The sequence below is a fragment of the Homo sapiens genome, chromosome 17 (genome assembly GCF_000001405.40).
Source record: "Homo sapiens chromosome 17, GRCh38.p14 Primary Assembly".
Classification (NCBI taxonomy): domain Eukaryota; kingdom Metazoa; phylum Chordata; class Mammalia; order Primates; family Hominidae; genus Homo; species Homo sapiens.
In genome coordinates, this window is record NC_000017.11 from 64,773,333 (window position 1) to 64,795,525 (window position 22,193).

Genomic DNA, 22,193 nt, shown 5'->3' on the forward strand with positions numbered 1-22,193 from the left:
GGGAAGGGTGGGAGGGGGGTGAGGGACAAGAGACTACACATTGGGTACAGTGCACACCACTCGGGTGATGGCTGCACCAAAATCTCAGAAATCGCCACTAAAGAACAAACACCACGTGCTCCCCACAACTATTAAAATAAAATAAACATTAAAAAATAGGTCTAGAGTGAGGTCAACTACTGAGGCCTGGGAAGGAAGTGAGGGGGCAGGTGGGGCCCATCTCAGGCCTCTGGGGGCCGAAGGGAGCCAGGGACTAAAGAGGTGAGAACCAGGCGCAGGCTCCAGGGAGACCCCCAGAGACCATGTGGCCTGCAGGGGAGTTGGGGGGGTGTGCAGGGAGATCTCTGGGGGGACAGCAATGTGGGGTGAGGGTGGGAGGGGTACCCAAGAAGCTGCTCTCTCCTAAGTCAGGTCCTAGGCAGGCAGAGGGGCTCTTGGGACAGCCTGGGGCTGCAGGTGAGTCCCTGGGAGGGAGACAGCTGAGGCGGCTGCCCCAGCTGGAGGGTGGGGGTGAGGGTTGTTGGAGGAGGGAGTACAGGCAAGGGGCTAGCTGGAGTCCCCTCAATTTGGACTTAGCTTCCTGCTATTACCAACGCCCCTTGCCAAAGGCTCCCTGGCTGGCCCTGAGTGGGGACAGGTGGGTCTGTCCCGAGGCCAGTTTCTTTCTCTCAATCACAGCGGCCTCGGGCTGCCCTCGGAGTTTGTCCTAGGAAGTGGGTGCTGGGCCTGGATCCAGAGAGGAGGGGCCCCCAGGTGGGTTTTAGGATTTGGGAAAGGGAGGGGAGAGAGTGGAGAAACTGCTGTGGCCGCCCTCTAGTCCCTCAGGGGCAAGGGCTCACTCACAGTTCCCAGCGGAGGAGGAGAAATGAGGGCCCCCGCTCCTTCCAGTCGGGGCTGCCTGCTCAGGTGCGGCGCCTCCAGGGTTGCTTGTATAAGAAGGTGCAGCAGACCGGCTGGAACTTCCCTCCCAGCGGCCAATGCCCCAGCAGCAGGGGCGGGCTCCAGGCCAGCTCCACCCACCTGGGCCTTCCCACTTCTGGGTGGGGATGGTGACTGCACCCTGAGATCCCAGAGCCAGGACCACAGCCATGGGGAAGAGTCTCAGAGGCCCCTTTATTGCACCGCCTTTGGCCTGGCTTCCCAGGGCTCCCTGAGTGGCCTCTTTGGGAGAGAGGAGGAGTCATCCCTGCTTACCTCTCCCTGTCTCCCTGTCTCCCCTCTCAGAAGGGGTTGCTTCTGCCCTCTCCTGGGCAGCAAGAGAACAGGAGACGTCCCTCTCCTGGGACATCAACTCTCCCACCACAGGGCTGGGCACGCAGGATGCTCAGAAGAAGGAGCGCTTGCTTGCCTTCAGCTTGTACTGTTCTTGCTGAGAGGAACAGGGTGGCCAACCCTAAAGGCCACCTGGCTGAAACTGAACCTGCTGGCCAGGGTGGGGCTTGGGGTCAGGGGCCTGGAACTGTCCTGGACACAGCCACTTCCTGGCTGTATGAGCTTCGTCCTGTCACTAAACCTCTCTGAACCTCTGTTTGTACTCAGGGCAAATGGAGGTGCCTACACCTGCCTTCCAAGCTGCTGGGAGCTTAACCCTGGGTTACAAGCCTTTGAGCAAGAGCCCACAGGACTGTTAGCCCCTTTGGGACTGCGTCTTACCACACTTTGTCCCCAGTGTCCAGCACAGTGACCAGCCCACACCAAGTACTCAATATGTGCGATTAGAGTGCATGGGGAGTGACAAGGCTGTGAAACACCATCCATGGCAGGAACTCCTCTGTTCTGGGGGTCCCTGGCCTTGCCCAGTAGCCTGCCCTAAGCCCTGAGCTGCCGCCTGACAGACGGGGGTCCCTATACACTCCCCAGTGCCCCCGTGCCATGCCATCCCCACATCCTGCCCCCTCTGTTCTGCACCCACTTTCTTCCGAGATCCCTTCTCAGCAACAATCTCCTCCCCATCTTCAGCCTCCCCATCTCCTGCCCACCCACCTGAACCTGGGGATGTTTCCATCTATGACCTACACCCCCTCTGGCCACGCTGTGTCTCTCTCTCTCCTTCTGTCTGTTGTCTACACACTCAATTCGCACCCTCACTTCACTCCTGACCACTGCCCTCTGCCTTCAGCACCCCCCTGACCAGCTGAGCTTCTAGTGGCCACTTCGGATAAGTGTTATATGGCCTTTCTCTCACGTCACCTTCCTGTGCATCTTTCTTCTGGACACTTCTTGTCCTCTGAGCCAGCACTCTCATGCTTCTCTTCCCTTTGTCTGGCACCTAAATCCAGGCAGGCCCCACCTTTCTCCACCCTGCTCCTCCCCAAGTCCCCCCCACCCCCCAACTCAGTAAGCAGCACCACTGTCTGCCCACAAGTGCCAGCTGGGAATCTGAACTCAACCCGATTTCCCTCCCACCTCCCTCGGCCCCCAGACCCTGCCCATCCATCTCCCAAACCTCTGTTACCACCACATGCCCACGAGACCACCAAGAGCTTCGGCCATTCTTGAGGCCCTGGCCACAGGGATTTTTTTCTCAATCCCATTCCTGTCTCTGCTAAAAGCCTCACAGCAGCTGCAGGATAACGTGCACATTCCTGGCAAGGGCTCATGAGGCCCTGCCCCGGTGGGCACCCACTCTCAACCCCATGCTCCACTCTGAGCCCCGGCCCCATGTCTTCTGTTGCTGGCCTCCTATCCAAGAGGGTGAGTCCCCCAGGACCGTGGCTGTGCCTGAGTCCTCTCTAGATCCAAAGGCTCACCAGGGCTCTGCAGCTATTTGGCTAGTTCATGCCTAATGAACGAGTGAATGGGCCTGGAGGATTATGGTGGGGAAATGCCGCCTGGGACAACTAAGGGCAGGGGTGGGGTTCCCTTGTGGGGGCAGGACCAACTCCCTACCCTGGACTTTGTTGGGGGTGGAGCACCAGGGAGAGCCACAGCTGCCTCTTGAATAAAGCTCCGTGGCAGGGAACGTGGTATTATTGCACTCATTGCACAGGGGAGGAAACTGAACCAGAGACGCAAAGTGACTTGTGGAGGTCACATAGTGAATTAGGGCCACAAGTGGGGCCAGGGAGCAGCCTGTCTCTGGCCAATGTCCTAGTTCCCCCCTGGGTAAGTCCCCTGCCCTCATCACCTGTGCCCCTCCCCCCATATGCCACTGCAACTGGGAACCTGCTGGGAGCTGGAGGAAGGATGGGCAGAGGGGCCACCTGGCAGGCGCCCTGGCAGCCGGGGTGATCTGTCTTCTCAGGAGATGTCAGGACCTGGGCAGTCTCCTTCCTCTTTGGTCCTGGGGCCTGGGGTGGTGGCCCTTGGGCAGACCTACAGAGGCCTGGCTCATAGGTAAGGGGCTGCCGCACCTCCGCCCTATTCAACATACACTCTCTGTGCACTCTGTCTGAGCCAGACCCTGGGCCAGATGCGAGGTTCAAAGAGCAAGGCCATTCCCCCACCTCCAGGGGCTCCGCTCAGACGGGCAGGCACCGTCCCACCGTCACTAGGACAGAGAATGTGGAGAGGCCGGGAAGTGCGCCACCGGGAGCCTGCGCAGGAAACGGAGGGGCGCTGCGGGGGAAGAGCGCTGGCATCCAGCCACCCATCCCAGAGAAGCTGCCTGGCTGGCTGGCAGGGGCGCGAAACAGGAACCAGCCGCGGTCTCCAGCCCCGCCCGCCGGGTGCCGTTTTCCACCCTGGCCACAAGGCGGCGGGCTGCCGCTGCAGGAGCCAGAGTGAAGGCGGCGCAGACCCAGGGAAGCCAAACGAGGATGACCCAGTCTGGGTGGACCCCCTGCTGCTGCCAAGCGCTTCGAAGCCTTAATTCATTTAAGGCTCACAACCCTAATCCTTAGGTATTGTGCTTACACCAGAGGACGCTGGGCCTGGGGGGGGAGGGGGTGGTCCTCGCTTGTAAGTTAAGTGGCTGTCAGCAGCTGGCAGCTGCCCCAGCAAAATCCAGTTCCCCTTTCCCTAGTCTCAAAACCTGAGCTCTGCATTGTAACGAGACAGGCGGAGGGAACACCCAGCAGCGGGCCTACGGAGGCGTGTCTCCTTCGTCTGGGCATCCCGGACTCAGTCCTGGCACATGGTGGGCATCAGTGTTCATGGTAATGACATCAGGCACAGCGAAATAAATCAGAGGCTCCCAAGGTTCAGAGGTCATCTGTCCATCCCCTCCCTTTGTGCTAAAGAACAAACCGAGACCCTGAGAGAGGAAGAGAGCTGCCTCTAGATCATCACACGGCCGGTGGCAGATGGCAGAACGGTTCTAAGCATCCTTTTCTCCCCCTCGGGCTGCCCCTCCCTGAAAAGTTCCTAAAGTTCAAAATGTCAGAGTCCCCCAGAGTGTTCTGAGGATGCAAGAGTGTTTGTAAAACGTGCTCTATTTTCGATTTCCCAGATTAACACAACTGGATTCTGAAGAGGGGAAAAAACAACCTCACTTAACACGTCTTTCTGAAACAAACCCATCAGGAGTTCTTTTAAAAAAAAAAAAAAAAAAAAAAGGAACTGAAATGCTGGAAGCACCCTCAAAGGGAAGCAGACGCCTGACTTTCACATCCACCCTCTCATCTGACTCCAGGCTCCTTGAGCTGGCGGCAGGCCCGCAATCCCCCGTTCCGTGCCCAGATGCACTTCGGAATATAGAACAGCTGGGACTTGGAAAGATAATATGTGGCACCCACCTGCTGTAGGTTACATAACCTCCCAGCAGGGCTTGGGGCAGCAGCCGGCCATCGAGCTTATTTGCATTTCTGCAGCAAAACATGAATATTCACACAAGTGCGATAAATAAAGACCATCAACAGCCTCATATCAGTTCAAGCGCAATTTTGCCACCAATTTGATTACGAAAAATCTTTCGGGCTTCCAGGGAGCTTTGGAGCCTGGAAATTGCAGATGAGGGATGGGGGCCTGCACTGTTTCGCGGCTGGGGAGAGGGAGCTCATCCGAAGTCTTCCGACAGAGGTGGGCGTCATGCCCGACGCTGAGCGGAGTGGGTCTCCTCGAGCCCAGGCTCCCTGCGGGCGCTGTCCTCAGCGAGCCTCCCCGCCTCCGCGCCCGGGGTCGTACCTGCTTCACGATCTCCTACCGCGGCGGGCCGCGTACCTCCTGGATGGCCTCTTAGACGTTCTCTGAGTCGCTGCGCGACAGGGGCAGCAGGCACACCCAGGAGCCCGCTACGCTGCAGGCCTTGAAGCTGCCGCTGCTTCCGAGGTTGCCGGCGGGAGGCGAGACGACGGCGCGCGTCAGGTCGTCCAGGGACTGCGCGGGCCGCACGGGCGCCGTGGGCCGCAGGTACAGGCAGGCGGGCAGGCCGGGCGCCAGGCTGCTGCGCTGGCTCGCGGCGCCGCGCTGCGCAGGGCCGCACAGGGAGCTGGCCCCGCCTCGGGGCTCCGCTGGGGGGCCGTTGGGGGCCGCTGCCACAGCCGCGCTCACGAACCGGTAGTCGTAGGCGAGCGGCTCAGGGGCTGCGGGTCCCGATGGGGGGACCTGGCGGCGCGTCAGCGGCAGGGTTGCCCAGCGCAGGCAGCTCGCGCACGTACTGCGCGGGCAGGTAGAAGGGGCGGCCGCCGGGCTTGCGCCGCACGTGCCACCAATGCTCAGTGCTCTGTGCTGCGCCGCAGCGGCCGGTAGCGCTCATTGGGCGGGATGGCCACGCGGCGCCCGTCCTTGCCGGTGTACTCGAAGGGGTGCTCCACCAGTACGTACACGTCCCCCTCCACATCCGCCGCCATTGCGGCCGCGGCATTTTCCTGCAGGCAACAAGGAAGAGGGCCGCGGAAGTCAAGACCACTGAGCCCGGAATAGCCCAGCACTCGAGGAGAGACTTGGGTTCGAGTCCCGATGCTGCACTTGCCGTTCGCCTTCGGGCCTCAGTTTTCCCATTTCTAAAATGAGGACTTGAATAAAATCACATGCAAGGCTTCCATTCTTACACTCAGTGCTGGAATTAGGACAACCTCTTCATTCCGTGGGGTTGATTCTAAGATTTCAGCCTCGCTTCAGTCCTGCGGTGGGGAGATTGTGGGTAGTCTTGGTCCAAATCGACTGCGAGGGAAACTTTGGCTTTAAAACGAGGGGTGATTACCTGCTCTAAGGTCGACACCACGCTTGCTTGATAGTTGACCGTGCCTTAGTTTTCCCGTCAGTCAAGTGGGAAGAGCAGCCCATTTCCTGCCGCTCCCCGGGCCCTGTCCCGCCTGGACGCCTCCCTCCAGGAGCCTGCGCCCCGGCCCCGGGGTCAGGGTTGGGATGCGGGCTCTGCAGGCGCCCCGGCGAACAGCTCTACCTGGAGGCTGTCCCTGCCCCGCTTAGTCCAAGGGCCTTGGTGTGGGGGCCTCCGCTGTCAAGGCGGGGGAACCGGTTCTCTCGGTTTCTCTCCCCTTCCCCAGCGGCTTCAACGCAGACGTGAGCCCGAGCCGGGCCCGCCCCCGCCCCCTGCTCTCCGGCTCTCACGCCGCCCCCCGAGAGAGGCTGCCCACCTGCCCTGTGACCCCTACAGTGTCCCCAAGAGAGTGGCCCCTGGAGAATGCACTCTGAGACAGTGACTGTCCGTGCGGAGTCCCAAAGCAGGGGCCCTCAAAGCTCTCCGGAGTGGTCACAAGCCCCGCTCCCGCCCCGGCTGGGTGTGTCAGGGATGGGGGAGAGCTTAACTAAATCTGCCGGCGCCCCTCCACCAAAGCCATGAGTCGGTGGTCTTCTCCGGAAGTGCATGGCCCCTCCAAGCTCCCACACTGACCACATCTCCTCCTGCCTCCTAAGGTGACCCAGGCCAAGGGCCAGGAGACCGCGGCTTGCCGAGGCTGAGGGACCGAAGGAGCAGGGTCCAATCCGGGACTCCCGTAGGGCTCCTTCGCCACTTTGTCAAGCGTTCCTCGACTAGGAAAGGGTATACACTTGAGTCACTAAGCACACTGGGCCCCGGAGGCGGGGTCATCGAGCTGCCCAGAGCCAACAAACCCCAAGGTGGACACTGCCCCGGCGCCCCTTCCCCCCGGACCCCGCAGCGCACTCACGTCTGCTGGGCGGGCCTCAGGGAGCCCAAGGGCCGGGTGGGCGGGGCCGGCAGGTTAGGCCCGGACCATCGCCCTGGGCGGGGCTTCCGAGGTGGTGCCGGAGAGGTTTCGCGGAATCGGAGCTGGCAACGGCAGCGAATAGGGACAGCGACGCTCAGGAGTGCTGTCACCCATACCCAAAGAAGCTGCGTCTGGGCGGGGCGAGGAGGAACCTGAATGCCTCTGCTGGGGACCTTGGGGGGCATTGGGACGAGGACCGGAGCAGAAAGCCGGGGTCCGGAGCCAGGAAGGCTGCGTCTGAAGGGGCGCTGGCTGGTCGCTAGCGGAGCCCAAGGAGGGTGGGCCTCCCCTGTCCCGCCTTCCCCCTTCCCTTCTCCCCCGGGGATTTGCTGTCCCGGAGTCCCTGCGTCCCTCCCGCCTGCGGCTCTGGGAATGCCGGTCTGGGGCTGGTTGTCTAGTGCGGGCGTTCCCGTTCGCGGGGAGGTCATTGGCACCCTGAATCACCCACTGCGAGCCCTTCCAACCGGATTGTAGACCTGCCAGCTCCGGGCCCACCTCCCCCAACAGGGCCTTTCCCGGAGCAACCCGGCCGGGCCTGGAAAAACTCCGAGAGGGATTCCCAGCGCAGGGACGCCCACCGGAGCGCAGTGTCTCGGGCTGGATAAGAAGGGGACCCGGCCACAGCTCCTTCGCCAACCTGCGGGAACACAGAGAAGGGGAGGGATTGGTGGGGGCCGAGAGGATCCCTGGAGCGCGAGAGCGCACCCGTCGCCAGGAGGTCCCCTGCGTCCACTGCCCAGGCGACGCAAGCTACAGCGGCGTCAACGCCTGGGTCGGCGCTAGGGGCCTGGGCCTGCTCCCCACCCGCCTCCAGAGGGAGGGCAGCCCTTCGCCTACCTTCTCCTCCCCGTGGGATGCGGCCCGAGCAGCTCCCGCCCCAGCACGGAGACAAGGGGAGCAGGCGCGCGGAGCTCCCGGGTGCGGACCCGCCACCTGCCGCACCCTTCCCTCCCCAACCCTGCCCCTTTCCCCACCCCCACCCCACCTCCCACCTCAACTCCCGCTCGGCGGCCCACTGCCTGCCCGGGCACCTCGGGGCGTCCGCTCGCCGGCCTCGTCTCCACTTGTCCCGGCAGGCGCGCGTGGGCTCGGCGTCCCGCGCTCCCTCCTCGACCGCGCGGCTCCGGCGCTGCCAGGTTTCCTGTATAGCACTATAACCAGTGAGGCACCGGCGGAGAGCGCCCGGCAGAACTTCCTCCCGGACTGGGGCTGGGCTGCGGTTGCGAGAGACAATCCCCGGCGTCCTGGCTTCCTGTCGCCTCTGGGCCAGGCCCGCGCCTGAAGAGGAAAGATGCCACCCCCTCCCCTGCATTTCCCGGGATCCTGGGCCACTCCCGGGATCCTGGCTGTCTCCAGGGAGGAAGAGGCCGCGGGGCTGAGATGGTGGGACTGGGGATGGCGGGAGTCTCCCGCGCAGCTTCTCCTGGCCAGATTGCCTTCCCACCATCCCCCACTCCCTCTTGACCCTTGCGGGGAAAGAGGTCCACCCTCCAATCCGTCCACAGGGTAAGCTCAGAACAACCTCCTGGGGGCCAGGAGTCCAGCCCCAGGGCCCTCCGCCTTGGGGGTCTTCTGTTTGGGAATTATCTGCCTCTCTGGACAAGCTGCCTCGCCCTGATCTGAGCCTGCGCTCACTCCACACGTCACAAACCACAGCCCTAGCAGACCCCCTGCCCTCAGGGGCCCCCAGAAACAGTTGTGCCTATGGACGTGGCTGTGTGTGCGGAGAGCTGGCTGATTCAGGCCAGTGTTCTGGGACGAAGAGAAGCCCACACCCCAGGCCATGGCCCCTCTTGACTCCACCTCCTGGGGGCCCAGGGTTGGATGGGAAGCTGAATCTGGCCACACTCGTTCTGGAACTCCCTTACCTCTGTATCTTTGCCCCTGCTAGGCGTTGCCCACCCGTGAGTCTACACTTCCTCTGAGAATCTCAGTGTGTCTGAGGCCTGGTGGCACTTTGGGACCCTCCAGGGTGGGCACACAGCAGAACTCAGCATTGGTCTTTGGTGCCCGACATGCTTAGAAAATAGTGACTGGAGGAATCTTCTCTCCCTCCCTACCTTTTAGGTCTCTCCCCACCTGCAGCACAGCCAGGCAGCGGCTGGCAGTGGTGATGGTCTTTGCGTGGGGTCAGGCAGGTATGATGCCCCACTCTGCTGCTTGGCGGCTGGTAGGCCTTGGGAGTTCTGCCTTATCTCTGCAGCTCAGCTTTCTTTCCTATCAATAGTAACACCCACTTCACTGGATTATTGGGAAGATTAAATGAGATCCACTAAGCAGTGCTTACCACATGCCCAGCGTACACCATATATCAGCTATTTTTTTTTTTTTTTTTTTTTTTGAGATGGAGTCTGGCTCTGTCGCCCAGGCTGGAGTGCAGTGGCACAATCTCGGCTCACTGCAACCTCTGTCTCTGGGTTGAAGTGATTCTCCTGCCTCAGCTTCCTGAGTAGGTGTGATTACAGGCACCCACCATCATGCCCAGCTAATTTTTGTATTTCTGCAGAGACGGGGTTTCTCTATATTGGCCAGGCTGGTCTTGAACTCCTGACCTCAAATGATCTGACTGCCTCGGCCTCCCAAAATGCTGGGATTACAGGCGTGAGCCACAGTGCCTGCCTATATCAGCTATTATGACACTTTTATTATGTGATGAGCTCTTGGGGTTTGGACTGGAATCTCCAAACCACCCGTCCTCCTTCAGGCAGAAGAGAAGGGGAAGTCCCAGCTACTCGGGAGGCTGAGGCAAGAGAATTGCTTGAACCTGGGAGGCGGAGGTTGCAGTGAGTCGAGATCACACCACTGCACTCCAGCCTGGGTGACAGAGTGACTCCGTCTCAAAAAAACATGGGTGAGAAGGGGAAACAAGTGCCCTCAGAGGCGCTTGGCTGAGGATGGAGAGGGGCTGAGCCCACTGGCAGGGCAGAACCAGGTCATGTGCCATGGCCCTCCACTGGGCCTCCCTCCCCCAGTTTCTCTTCTCTTCTCTGGCCCTACCATCTATTGTCCTTGGGGGAAGCTGTGGCACCTAGATGGGCAGAGGGTGCCAACTTGTAATCTGAAAGGGGCCTTCAAGGACAGGAAATCGCAGATCTGAATGTTGTCTGTTTCCATCCCATTTTACCGCAATCTGATTTCCCTGAGAATTAGTCTGTTTCCAAGGGCGCCTTCGGGAAGAATCCTCACAGGCCTAAGCCCTCCCCAGGCCAGACTCCTGCCCACTCAGGGATGGGGCAATGAGGGCTCTGACCAGGCCAGGCTTGTGGTCATGGCAGGTGCATAACCCAGCTCCTGGCTTAGGAGGTATTGGCATCTGGGCACAGGTGTGCGCCATGACCGGGAGAAGCTATGCACAGCCTCCACCTGCCTGCCACCGCCACCTCTGTTCTGCACAGGCATCCAGCTCCAAAGCTGGGTGGGTGACTCAGCAGCTGATCACCCCCAGGGAGGGGTGGGGGTGGGCTCATCTCTGACAGTGACAGGTGGATCTCCACCTGAGGCCTCAGACTCCAAGCTGAGCGCAGGTAAGACAGCTAGGACTGAGGGCCCGCTGGGTCCAGGAGAGGTGGGAGAAGGCGACAGAGAGACCAGCAAACCCACATTTCCCTGAAGCCTGGAGGGTCTGAACTTCACTTCAAAAACAATTCCAGGCTCCCACCCCAGCACCAAGGCCCCTTCAAAGGCAGTCCTGCTCCGGGGAAGTTCTTCAGTCTCCAGTGTCCTGGCTGGGCAAGTTCAGTGATGCTTTGGGAATTCATAGCTTTGTGAGGCGGCGGCTGCATCCACAGGGCAGCTCCCCCGCATGCCCTGCACAGCTTAGGGCGAAGGACCAGGTCATTTCTCCACAGTGCAGGGCCCAGCTGCCTGCTGTCTCTAGGGTCCTGCCTATCTGTGCCCTGGCAGGGGTCAGTCAGGCAGAGAGGGTGACCCCGGGCACCCACCAAGGTGGGCCTGGAGCATCTGCAGCAGTGCCCCTGTCTGTAGAGGGGTGAGGAGGGCACGGGGATTGGGGGTGGGCAAGACGGCGACCCTCCCTAAACCGAGGAGGGCTCATAGTGCTGAAAGTGCTGGTTTCCAGTCATTTCTCCTTCTCCTAATGGGGCCAAGGCCCCAGGCTAGAGAAGAGCTAGGGGCTCTGACGCTGAGAAAGGGGTGGGCTCAGCAGGTGAGACGCACTGGGGTGGGGAGTAAAGAGGAGACAGAGAGGAAGTGGGGTCACCAGGACTGGCCCTGCCCTGCTGAGGGGCGGTTTGGCACTGGCAGTGAGGGCCAGGAAAGGCACTGGGTGGGCCCACAGGCCCTGTCCCAGCAGTGGCCTGCCCAACAGCCACCCGCTGCCTCTAGGACAGGCCTGAGAGGCTCCTGTGCATCCGCTGGGGGTGAAAATGTCTGGATTTCATGGGTGACTCGCATACGGTCAAGAATAAAAAATACTTTCTGTTGAAATATGAATGGGAAAAACCCACCTTAAAAAACCAGACCTTTTAATCAGGAATGTGGAATTGAAAATGTTCCCCAAGTCCCCTTTCCACAGTGTTTGGCCAGCCCTAACGGAGGCGCCGGGACGCTGGTGAGCCAGGGCCTGGTGAGTAAACGGCCCTGCCTGCCCCAGACAGGGAGCATCTGGTGGTGGCCACGCCTCCTGCAGCAGAGGGGTGGGGGGAGGGCCAGGGGACATCATGGGGACTTCCTGGGCTTTCTGTAGGAGGCCAGTGCTCTGGTCACATCTGAGGTCTTCCTGACAAGGGGACACAGCTGTGACACGGTGAGTATCCTGGGCTGATAGGAAACCCAGCTGGGATGGCTGAGCCACACTCACCCCCGGCCTTCAGAGTGGGATCAGCAGAGGGGCATCAGGCGAAAACGTTCTGTTGCTGGTACTTGCGTCAGCGAGCACAGCGGGGGCAGCCCTTCTTCACCACAGCCTGGCAGCTCTGGTGGAAGACGGTCTTGCACTTGGCACACCTGGGGAGAGAGCAGCACACCTGCTGGTGCCGGCTGGGCTGGAGGTTGACCTGTGGCCACGCTGGCCAGCACTTTTGACCAGAACCCACGATATGGCTGTGACATACTGTGTAACCCATGCACGCACGCTGTGCCTTTCCATCCCGGAACAGGAGATTCTCGAAACAGTGCTTACCCATACGTCACACAATGCACACTGATATTCTCTGTCCTACTGCATTTTTTATAAATGCTGCTTGAGATTCATTAAAGATTTCTTACCTGTATTTTAAAAAGCATTTACTTATTTATTTATTTATTTTTGAGACAGAGCCTTGCTCTGTTGCCCAGACTGGTGTGAGGCTCACTGCAACCTCTGCCTCCCAGATTCAAGCAATTCTCCTGCCTCAGCCTCCCAAGTAGCTGGGATAACAGGTGCCCACCACCACACCTGGCTTACTTTTGTGTTTTTAGTGGAGACGGGGTTTCACCATGTTGGCCAGGCTGGTCTCAAACTCCTGACCTGAAGTGATTCACTCGCCTCGGCCTCCCAAAGTGCTGGGATTACAGGCGTGAGCCACCGCACCCGGCCAAGACTGTATAATTTTAAAAACTCACTCCCAGGCCCATTCAGGGCTGAATCCCGGCCAGTGGACACCGATAAAAAAAGAACTAATGTTCCCAGTTCAGTTTTCCACTCCCACATGGGTTGCAGGAAGGTCTGGATGAATTTTTCCATTGAGAGGTTGCTGATAATGAGCAATAACTGGGAACAAGAGGGATCATTTCAGCAACCGAGGCAGTAGCAGTGGCAGTGGCAGCTACCACCCACCAGGTGCCCACTTTGTGCCTGGTCTTATGCCAACAGTGCAGGGCGGTAACTCATACAACCCTCCTCAACCCATGCATACACTGAGACCCCAGGAGGCTCCACTCAGAGAGCCGGCAGCCACCTCTTCTTTAGGAAGACAGATGGTTCTGTAGAGGCAGAGGAGTCCTGGGAGAGCTTGTCTTGCCCCCTGAACTGGTCCAGAGCTGGCCATGACTGCCCAGGGCGTGGGCTGCCCTGAACAACTGCACCGCCCCTTGGCACGGCACAAAGCAGATGTTCAATACATTCCTGCCCATAGAGCGAAGCCTGCTGCCCTGCGTGCTTGGGCCAGGCTGTGGGTGTGGCGAAGGGTAGGGCTGGGAGGCAGCTGGCTGGGTGTCCCGCATACCTGACTGTGGTGTCAAACTCAGAGGGGAAGATGATGTCGTGGTGCTGGCAGATCTGGCAGATGAAGCTGCGCTGGGTGCACAGGTCGCAGTGGTAGACATGCTGGGAGGCAAATTCAATCAGGGCCTTGAGGAATCCTTCATATACCTCATCTGCGATCTGCGGAGGGTAAGTAGGAATCCTTCATACACCCCGTCTGCGATCTGCGGAGGGCTGGTAAACTGAGGCCCCAGGCCTTTCAAGCAGCTGCACTGAGTCGCCATGGCACCCTGCCTAGAGAACTTCTACCCCCAGTTTCCATGCGGGCAAGAAAAGAAAACCTCCCTGAATCAGGCTGAGTAGTGGCAGCATCCAGCCCGTGGGTACTGAGGTCACTCGGGGCTTATGGGATTTATAGATGAGACCCAAATCCACTGTACCCTCCCCTTGGGGAAAGGAGTATTCCAAACTCTCTTCCCTACGATCCTGGGGTTGCTGGAGTTTTATTTCAGGGGTGCTGGGGGTATCCGTCCCTGCCCAGGAAGCTGGGGCAGCAGGGCAACCCACCCTGAGCTGCAGAAAAGCTGCAGACTGCTGTCTTCTTCAGTAAACTACAGACACCCTCTCTCCCATCTTCCTTGCTGACTTCTCCAGGAATGAAGTCTTTCTAGAGTTCTGGGCGGGGTAGGCATGACACTCTCACCTGCCGGAGGTCAGCAACACGGAACCTATGCGGAGACTCCAAGAGATAATTCCGGTGGTTGAGCCTTCAAACAAAACACAAGCGATTCTTTAGAAAAGTTTCGAAGACCCAGGCCAGCCCGTGTTGTTTATTTTCATTCCCCTGGCGCTGCTCACCAGGCAGACACCTCCCGCCTGGGCGGGGCAGGGCCTAGGAGCACAATTCAGCCTGCTTGGGACCCGGTCTTCAAGGTAACTAACTAGCTGGTTGGACCTTGGACATGTTACTTAAGCTCTCTGAACCTTGGGTTCCCCTCTCTGGGAAATGGAGTTGTCTGGATTGAGTAACTTATTGAAAGCATTTGGCTTGGTGCAGAGCTCACAGTAAACATGTAATTAATTAATTAATCATGAGGAGGATAGGTGCTGACATCTGGGACCAGGAACTGGGCTAAGAGCTTCATACGCACTCATTCATTTGATCCTCACAATAATCCTGTGAGGCTGGTACTAACACAACCCCAACTTTGAGAAGAGGAAACAGAGAGGTTAAGTCACTTGCCTGAGGTCACATATCTAGTAGGTGGGAGAGCTGGAGTTTGAACACAGGGGCCTGGCTCCTGAGCCTGCACCCTTGTCCACCTGGTAAATGCCTAGAGATGCAGGCTGTTGTCATTATTGCCAAAGTCACATACCAGGGACAGTGCTGGGGACAGTAATGCACAGGATATGGCCTCTGCCCTCCTGTGGCCCCTGGTTTGGCCGAGGGACAGACATCCAAGTGTCTGGTTTCAGTGCTACATGAGAGCAACCGAGACGTGTCCTAAGTACAGCAGTCCCATTTCAGAGGTGGCGGGGGGAGCAGAGGACAAGGGCTCAGCTGCCAACGCGGCTCTAGTTTCCACCACACCAACGGCAGGGATCCAGCGGGCCCCATCCAGAGAGATGGAGAGGAAACACTTGCAGAAAGTCCCCTGGTACAAAACCTGCCTGGCCTGGCTGTGTGTGTTTACATGGGTACTGGGGGTGGGAGGTTACTCCAAGTCAGAGGATGCTTGGGAACCTGCCCCAGGATGCCCCAGACATCTGGGGACAGGATGGTGCCAGCCCTGGGTCTGGGCCTCCCAGGTGCAAGCTGTGGAGCATCTGGAATGGGGACTTGGCCTTGTCCCAGCTAGTGGCCTCAGCTGTGGTCCAGGGGAGCCCAATCTGGGGTGGAGAGGGTGAGTCTCACCAAGCAGCCACACAGGCCAAGATGCCAACTGGCCCCTCAGTTTACCATGCTGGTGACCCCAGTAAACTTCCTACACTCTAGGAAGGGAAGCTGCCATTTGTCACCAAGAAAACATGGGACACAGCGGGCTGGGGGGACACAGGTTGGCCCTCAGCTGGCAGGAGGGTGGGCTGATCTGGATGGAGAATTAGCTTTGCCATCTGTCCTCTGACCACAGTCGTGGAAGCCCTGGGAGCCCCTGTGCCCTGGGCCTGTCACCCTCTCAGCAAGGGCTTGTGACTGGCTTCTCCACAGTGCTCAGTCAAGGCCAGAGGGGAGAGGGCGCCGACCCAGGGGTGAGAAGCCACTTCCCCTCCTGGCTTCCAGGAGAGAAACTCTCATGCACCAGGGCACAGTCAGCCCTACTTAGGGCCTCAGTTTCTCCGCCCACACAATAAGGAGAACCTCTTTGTCCTCTGGCGTGAGGCTGGCTACCTGGGAAACAGACCAGAGGAATCTGGACGGCTCTCCGGGAGAGAGGAAGATGAGGGGAAAGGTCGACTCTTAGCTCCTGGAACCGATGAAGTGATGGGGAAGGAAAGGGTCAGGCAAGGGCTGGAAGATCCGGGGGACATGGGTGGGGGGCCTGGGTGCCACCTGTCTCCTGAGCCCTGGCTCCTCCTCTGCCCACCCCTCCCCGGCTGTCGGGAGGGACAGCCTTCCCTCTGGCTGACTCGGTCCAGGCCCAGCTCCCTGGGCTAATTACTAACACCAGCTGCCACCCAGGGCTCTCCCCTTCACCAACTGCACTCCGCTGGGGCCAGAATGGTCTTTTTGTGTGTTTGTTTTGTGTTTTTGAGACAGAGTCTCGCTCTGTCTCCCAACCTGGAGTGCAGTGGCATGATCTTGGCTCACTGCAACCTCTGCCTCCTGGGTTCAAGTGATTCTCCTGCCTCAGCCTCTCTAGTAGCTGGGATTACAGGTGCCTGCCACCACGCCCGGCTAATTTTGTACTTTTAGTAGAGACAGGGTTTTGCTATGTTGGCCAGGCTGGTCTCAAAATCCTGACCGTAGGTGATCCACCTGCCTTGGCCTCCCAAAGTGCTGGGATTACAGGCATGAGCCACCGCACCTGGTCTTTTCAGAGTGGTCTTTTCTAAGCCGCTGACCGGAAGTGACAGCCCTGTGCTCAAAACCCTTCAATGGTTCCCCACAGGTGGCAGATCAAATCCAAAGGCCTCGAGGGCCCTTTGAGTTCTGGGCCCTGCACCTGAAGCCCAGCTGCCCAGAGCCCCTCAAGGGTGTCAGTGAGCTGTGCTCCTGCCAGCCTCTTGCTACCGGTCTCTTAGCCAGGAAAGCCAGGTTCTCCCCTGCCCTTTCTACTCTTTTCTCATTTTTCTAAGCCCCAGTTCAACAGACACACAATGCCACTGGTGTGGCAACATGTGTGTGTGGATGGAGTGAGGTGCAGAAGCAGGTGGTGGTGGGCTCTGAGAAGGGCTGATTGAATGGTCTGCTTTATTCCCTTTCATAAATTTTCCTCGCTTGGAAGATTGACCTTTGTAAAGAAGAAAAACATTTTAGAAGGAAAAAGGAAAATATCTCTGCATGCCCTCAGCTCAGATGCCATCTCCTCTGGGAGCTCCTCTGGCCCCTGCCAAGGCTGGATCAGGTGCCCTCAGGGCACACACGATGCTGACCCAGGGCCATCTGTGGCCCAGACTCTGGGTCCCTCATGCAGCCCTCACCACTGCTCAGGAGGCCACAGGAACAGAGGAATCACTGGCCCATTTTATAGACGGGAAAGCTGGACCCGGAGAAGTGAAGCAACTTTCCTGACTCACAGTGGGTGAGGGCCTCCCACGCTCTTTCCCCTGCCCCATGCTGTTTCCATGGGACTTCCACAGGCATGGGAAGCAGGCTGAGCACATAGCAGGAGTACAGCGCTGCTGCCCAGGGATGGAGCAGGAGGGTCAGGGAGAGAGAGACAGGGCTGCCCCTGGTGCCCACAGAGACAGGTCTGTAAAGCCGATGAACAAACTCTCTCAGCAGGGCAGGGATGGGTGAATGGGGCTGGGGTCCACAACCCACCCCACAGGCATCTGGTCTACACAGGTCTGCATGCCTGTGCAGGTACCTGGCTCCTTGACCAAGGAGGGTGATAAGGCCCCACCTGACCCCAGAGATTTCGCCACCTGGTTAGGTGGGCAGGAGGATAGTCTCTCTGGAGCCCTGGGTCATGGACTCTCAGAGGTAGGGAGTGAGTCAGCGCTTGCCAAGAGGTGGAGACCCAGTCACCCACGGATGCTTGGGATGGGCAGAGCCTCCTGGGGTGAAGTCTTCTAGGGTCTAGGGTCCCACATGGTGGTCCCTGGAAGGCTTTCTGTTCTTCCAGGCCCTACAGAGGAGACCAAGGCTCAGCTGGCAGCTAGCTGTGGGGCCAAATTCTCCTCTCTGCCTAGGGGAGAGCCCCCTGCAGTACCCCTTGAGAGCCCCTGGGGACCTGCCTGGGGCACACCCTGGCCCTGAGGAGGCCCGGCTCTGGGAGCACTGCAGCCAGGATGGAGGAGGCAGTCTTCAGAGAGGCGCTCTCTGGGCCAGCCCTGTGGGGAGGGAAGGCCAGACGGGGGAACCTGGAGGGGCTTGTGAACCGGTCCCTGCCCCCAGAAACCCAGCAGAGGTGGATTTGAAGCCCATTCTGGGCAGTAGGCACCGGCAGGCTTCTCCGCCTGAGGTCTGCCCTCCTGAGGGTGCTGGGAGAGCACAGCCCTGGGAAGACTGCAGCCTGGGCGTGACCTGAGGACTAGGAAGTGTTTATGACAGACATGGAGAGGCCTAAGTCCCTGTTGAAGCCCAGCATCACATCCCATTCCTGAGCACCAAAGGCCCCAGGCCCTGGGTAAGAGAAGCTTCCTGAAGGGCATCCTGAGGGCCCCGCCCGGATCACGTCTTCTTTGGACAATTTCAGGAGGGAGGCTGGCATGGGCCAGACGACTGGCTGGTACAGGGAAGAGACGGGAACATCTGGCCCTCGCCTGCCTCTCGCCACACTCCCCACTTCCCTCGTCACTGTAGCCAAAGTTCTCCCTGGGCTTTCCACCAACGGTGCCTTCGTTCATGGCCTGTGCGTGCCATTCCTTCTGTCTAGAATGCTCTTTCCCCCTTTGCTTCTCCTTTCTGATTCTTCCTAATTTTTCAAGTCTCACCTTATAAGTCACTTCCTCCAGGAAGTCCTTCCTGCTTTGTCCTCCTCTGATCTGGGCTGGATGTCAAGCCTCTGTGGTTCCAGGACGTCCTGCCTCTCACCCTCACCCCCAGATGGAGTTGCTGGCTTTCCCACCTGTCTCCCTCTCACCCTCAGCCCCGGATGGAGTTGCTGGCTTTCCCACCTGTCTCCCTCTCACCCTCACCCCCGGATGGAGTTACTGGCTTTCCCACTTGTCTTCCCTGCCAGGCCAGAGGCTTCCAGCGGGTCAGCCCTGGCTCTGCCCTGCTCAGTGTTGGAGCCCACATGCCTCGCCAGGTGTGCAGTGCTTAGTATGTTCTCAGTCCATGTTTTTGAGTGAACAAATAGATACATGAACAAAACCCCAAAATCACCCCCAAAAGATGTGATCATTTCCCAGGCCCAATGGGAAGATCTCTGCCCAGGTTTCCTCTAGGTGGACGCCTTGCCCTGGGCACTGCCCTTGTGTGTGTGTGCGTGTGCATGAGTGCCTGCATGTGTGTACATTTGTGCACATGTGCATGGGTGTGGATGTCTATGCGTTTGTGTATAAATTTATGTGTGTGGGTATGTGTGCACATGTGTATGTGTGTCTGTGTGTACATGTGCATATAAGTATGTGTTTGTGTGCATGCATGTGCATGTGTACGTGCACTCACACGCATACACGTAGAGGTTGCTCACCTCTTGCTGAGCTCCTTCAGGGCGCCACTCCGGCACAGGCCCAGGTAATCCCCCAGGAGCTTCAGCTGCTCCCGGCTCCTCCCAATGAGGTGCATCCGCTCCACATGCTCGTACAGAGACGCGTTCACCATCTGCAGGTTGATGAGGGGCTGGGCCCGGATCTGCGTCAGAAACTTCAGGGCCTGCCTGCAGATCTGGGGGTACCACCAGACATTGGGGATGGGAAGGAATGGCTGTTCAGTGAGCACTGCCTGGCCAGGTGCCACATGACCTGCTCACTTACCTGAGGGGCTATCTTCATTTTACAGATGGGGAAACTGAGGCTCAAGGAGATGAAGAGATTTGGCTAGGGTCACCCAGCTTGTAAATGGTACAGTCAAGCTCTGAACCCAGTTTATCTGACTCCCAAACCCGCTCTCCCTCTAATGGCAAGGGTCACTGCCCCCTCCCCAATCATGCTGAGATGAGGGAGGGACTGCTCTGATAACGCCCCCTCCCTCTGGGCCTCACAGATCCTTCCCACTCTTTCCTGTCCTCCCAGCCGCTATTTCCTCCCACTAAAGGAAACAGGCACTCCCTTCTGTGCCCTGATTCAGGAACCAGGTGACAGGCTGAGTCAGGCTCCAGCCACAGGAAGCTACAGATCAGACACAGCTCACCAACAGGCTTCCCTGAGCTCCCTCGGCTCACACCAGTAGCAACACCGGGACTCTGTGTGCAGCTGAGTGATCCATCTCAGTCTCTCCTGGCTGACAGGGTGTTGAAGGTTCTACCCTTGGCCCTGATCCTAATACCAATGCCAATAATCAAGCGCCTACTATTTGCAAAACACTGGGTCAGGAACTTGACCACATCCTCCCGTCATTCTCAGAACAACCTGTTAGGGAGGGTGTCCCTGTCCCTGTTTTCTAGATGAGGAAACGGAGGCTTAGAGGGGCTAACGTAGCTTATACAACCTGCCTGCAGAACCTGCCAGGTTTGAGCTGAGGTGTCATCTCTGAACACCAGGCTGCTGCACTAATCAGAAGCCCCCTCCCCTGCAGTGGCCTCGCTGCATCATAAGGACGGAGGAGCTGTTGTCTCCACAGCCGACAAGTGCACAGTGATTAGAAGTCTGGCTTTGGCCTGGCTCAGATCTTTAACATCTTAACTAGTCCTCTCGTTACATATTTTATTTCTGGTGGCTTTGTTTTTGATACTATTATAAGTGATTATCTTTTAAAATAGTAATTTGTTTGCTGATATATAGAAATGAAATTGATTTATTTGATTGTTATATCCAGCAACCTTTTCAAATTCTGATAAATTGTGTAGGGGAAAAAAAGTCTGGCTTCGGAGTCAGAATGGAATTGAATCCTGCCTCCACCACTTTATACCTGTATGAATTGGTGAAACTTATCCCTCTCTGTGACTCAGTTTCCTCATCTGTAAAATGGGGAAAATGAGAGCAATTAAGGCTCACGGGTTTGGGGCCTTTTTGTTCGCTGCTGCTGCTTTAGTGCTGAGGCCCGGCACTCGGCAGGATGTCAGCCCAGGACTGGGACTTCTTTTTCATGGGATTATTTTGAATTCAGATTAAAAGAGGTATTCCAGGAGAGCTCCTGGCATTAGGGCCTGGCAGGTGGCACATCCCCAGTAAATGTGAGCTGTTATCAGCTGCTGTGTGAGTGCCTGGTATGGCCCTGTTGTCCCCTTGAGGGTTGGGGGACTAAACTGGCCCTCAGGAGACCTGCCCCTGTATTTGGGGGCTGAGGGGGCCTCTGACCTCTTGTCTCCCAGCTCCACCAGCATCTCTCACCTCCCCCCGCAATGGACAACCTCTTCTTTTCCCAAAGCCTGGGGCCCTGAGGTACCAGCCCCCCCAGCCTAGGGACAGCCCAATGGCAAACTCCTGGTGACTTGGGTCAAGCTGCTGTTCTCCAATCCTAACTCAGCTCTTCCCATGACTTGGCCCCAGGCCTTGGGTGAGGCTCCAGTGAAATAACACACAGGAATGTGCGCTGAACACTGCCAACCACTGCAGATGGGCAGGGGCTTTGTGCTCCCCAGCGACTGTTCCTATCCTGTGGGAATGGAGGAGACAGAAAGAAGCCCCACTCCTGGGCTGACATCCTGCCAGTGCCAGCCAGGCCTCAGCACCAGTGGGTCAGCCAGAACAGCAACGGCGAACAATAAGGCCCCAAACCCGTGGGCCCCCCACTTTCTATCTTGAATTTCCCTGTCTTTCCTAGGCCAGCAATCTTTGAGAGGGAGAGCGAGCTGAGGATTTCCTGATCTCAGATATGCCTAGAAAAGGATTGTACTTTTCTTTCTTTCTTTTTTTTTTTTTTTGAGGTGGGGTTTCGCTCTTGTTGCCCAAGCTGGAGTGCAATGGCGCAATCTCAGCTCACCGCAACATCCGCCTCCCAGGTTCAAGCGATCCTCCTACCTCAGCCTCTGGATTAGCTGGATTACAAACATGCGCCACCACGCCCAGCTAATTTTTGTATTTTTTAGTAGAGACAGGGTTTCTCCACGTTGGTCAGGCTGGTCTCAACTCCCGACCTCAGGTGATCCGCCCACCTCAGCCTCCCAAAGTGCTGGGATTACAGGTGTGAGCCGCTGTGCCCAGCTAGGATTGTACTTTCCTAGTTAGAAAAGGAAGTGGCACAAGGATGAGGGCAGTGAATAAGGAGATGGCTCAGCGGAAGTATCAGGGTCCTGTAAATAGTTAACGTGTTTTATGATCAAAGGGTTCTTTGCATTTTTGGTGATTTTGAGGCTTAATTTCCTCTATGTAGTTAGTTAAATATTTAACACTGAGAGCAAGGGCGGGGACAAGGCAAACAACAAAAAAATCAAAATGAAGCCAACTTCTGCGGGGTTCCCCTGCCCCAGGGAGGTGGAGGTTGAGGTAGAACTGACTGAGAGAATCACCCTGCACTATGATGAAGACACATCCACACATCAGGACTACATAGCTGGCAGGCCCTGACTCTCCAGAGGAGCAAACAGCTTCTTCCTTATGTTTCTGTGTCTGTCTTAGTAGAAATCTGTGCCCTTGGAAGAAAACCAAATTTGTACCCCTTGAGGCAGACACTAACCAAGTGAATTAGGTAGATGGGTGGATGGGTGGGTGAACATAGGCAGGAGGTGTGACAGGCCCCAGGGAGGGAAAGGACACTGTTCTTACTGACA

The 22,193-nt window shown here is 58.0% G+C and overlaps 1 non-coding gene and 3 pseudogenes across 4 annotated transcripts in view, besides 10 other annotated features; 1 reads left to right on the top strand and 3 right to left on the bottom strand.

Annotated features, from left to right (window-relative positions):
- The window catches only part of ARHGAP27P1-BPTFP1-KPNA2P3 (ARHGAP27P1-BPTFP1-KPNA2P3 readthrough, transcribed pseudogene), a 32,338-nt pseudogene extending 23,671 nt beyond the window's left edge, over positions 1-8,667 (bottom strand). The window contains exons 1-3 of the transcript NR_026899.1: positions 8,593-8,667; positions 8,102-8,348; positions 7,011-7,707 (exon numbers count right to left, since the gene is read on the bottom strand). The product of NR_026899.1 is annotated as an ARHGAP27P1-BPTFP1-KPNA2P3 readthrough, transcribed pseudogene (transcript). The remainder of the gene's footprint in view (positions 1-7,010; positions 7,708-8,101; positions 8,349-8,592) is intronic.
- Positions 4,466-5,135: an enhancer, noted in NCBI's record as "H3K27ac-H3K4me1 hESC enhancer chr17:62773916-62774585 (GRCh37/hg19 assembly coordinates)". NCBI's record gives its function as "activates a minimal SCP1, AML or CMV promoter by ChIP-STARR-seq in naive and primed H9 embryonic stem cells {active_cell/tissue: H9 hESC(naive and primed)}" and the evidence as "EXISTENCE:reporter gene assay evidence [ECO:0000049][PMID:30033119]".
- Positions 4,807-8,172, bottom strand: ARHGAP27P1 (Rho GTPase activating protein 27 pseudogene 1; annotated as a pseudogene). Its single transcript, NR_027487.2, has 3 exons — positions 8,063-8,172; positions 7,011-7,707; positions 4,807-6,873 (listed from the first exon to the last, which is right to left on the bottom strand). The product of NR_027487.2 is annotated as a Rho GTPase activating protein 27 pseudogene 1 (transcript).
- Positions 5,136-5,804: an enhancer, noted in NCBI's record as "H3K27ac-H3K4me1 hESC enhancer chr17:62774586-62775254 (GRCh37/hg19 assembly coordinates)". NCBI's record gives its function as "activates a minimal SCP1, AML or CMV promoter by ChIP-STARR-seq in naive H9 embryonic stem cells {active_cell/tissue: H9 hESC(naive)}" and the evidence as "EXISTENCE:reporter gene assay evidence [ECO:0000049][PMID:30033119]".
- Positions 5,291-5,510: a silencer, noted in NCBI's record as "silent region_8847". NCBI's record gives its function as "represses an Ori minimal core promoter by ATAC-STARR-seq in GM12878 lymphoblastoid cells {active_cell/tissue: GM12878}" and the evidence as "EXISTENCE:reporter gene assay evidence [ECO:0000049][PMID:35858748]".
- Positions 5,671-5,730: a silencer, noted in NCBI's record as "silent region_8848". NCBI's record gives its function as "represses an Ori minimal core promoter by ATAC-STARR-seq in GM12878 lymphoblastoid cells {active_cell/tissue: GM12878}" and the evidence as "EXISTENCE:reporter gene assay evidence [ECO:0000049][PMID:35858748]".
- Positions 6,984-7,033: a silencer, noted in NCBI's record as "silent region_8849". NCBI's record gives its function as "represses an Ori minimal core promoter by ATAC-STARR-seq in GM12878 lymphoblastoid cells {active_cell/tissue: GM12878}" and the evidence as "EXISTENCE:reporter gene assay evidence [ECO:0000049][PMID:35858748]".
- On the top strand, positions 7,427-7,492 carry MIR6080 (microRNA 6080). The gene has a single exon (NR_106728.1). It is a non-coding gene; the product is annotated as a microRNA 6080 (primary transcript).
- Positions 7,802-7,901: a silencer, noted in NCBI's record as "silent region_8850". NCBI's record gives its function as "represses an Ori minimal core promoter by ATAC-STARR-seq in GM12878 lymphoblastoid cells {active_cell/tissue: GM12878}" and the evidence as "EXISTENCE:reporter gene assay evidence [ECO:0000049][PMID:35858748]".
- A 2,841-nt stretch (positions 8,668-11,508) lies between the features above and the next one.
- Positions 11,509-22,193, bottom strand: part of PLEKHM1P1 (pleckstrin homology and RUN domain containing M1 pseudogene 1) — a 52,344-nt pseudogene continuing 41,659 nt past the window's right edge. Inside the window, exons 8-11 of the transcript NR_024386.2 lie at positions 19,017-19,210; positions 13,916-13,979; positions 13,235-13,392; positions 11,509-12,035 (exon numbers count right to left, since the gene is read on the bottom strand). The product of NR_024386.2 is annotated as a pleckstrin homology and RUN domain containing M1 pseudogene 1 (transcript). The remainder of the gene's footprint in view (positions 12,036-13,234; positions 13,393-13,915; positions 13,980-19,016; positions 19,211-22,193) is intronic.
- Positions 11,647-12,406: an enhancer, noted in NCBI's record as "H3K4me1 hESC enhancer chr17:62781097-62781856 (GRCh37/hg19 assembly coordinates)". NCBI's record gives its function as "activates a minimal SCP1, AML or CMV promoter by ChIP-STARR-seq in primed H9 embryonic stem cells {active_cell/tissue: H9 hESC(primed)}" and the evidence as "EXISTENCE:reporter gene assay evidence [ECO:0000049][PMID:30033119]".
- Positions 12,778-13,278: an enhancer, noted in NCBI's record as "H3K4me1 hESC enhancer chr17:62782228-62782728 (GRCh37/hg19 assembly coordinates)". NCBI's record gives its function as "activates a minimal SCP1, AML or CMV promoter by ChIP-STARR-seq in primed H9 embryonic stem cells {active_cell/tissue: H9 hESC(primed)}" and the evidence as "EXISTENCE:reporter gene assay evidence [ECO:0000049][PMID:30033119]".
- Positions 12,778-14,043: a biological region, named in NCBI's record as "CDK7 strongly-dependent group 2 enhancer GRCh37_chr17:62782294-62783493".
- Positions 12,844-14,043: an enhancer, noted in NCBI's record as "CDK7 strongly-dependent group 2 enhancer chr17:62782294-62783493 (GRCh37/hg19 assembly coordinates)". NCBI's record gives its function as "activates an origin of replication core promoter dependent on BRD2, BRD4, P300/CBP, MED14 and CDK7 cofactors, with strong dependence on CDK7, by STARR-seq in HCT116 cells {active_cell/tissue: HCT116}" and the evidence as "EXISTENCE:reporter gene assay evidence [ECO:0000049][PMID:35650434]".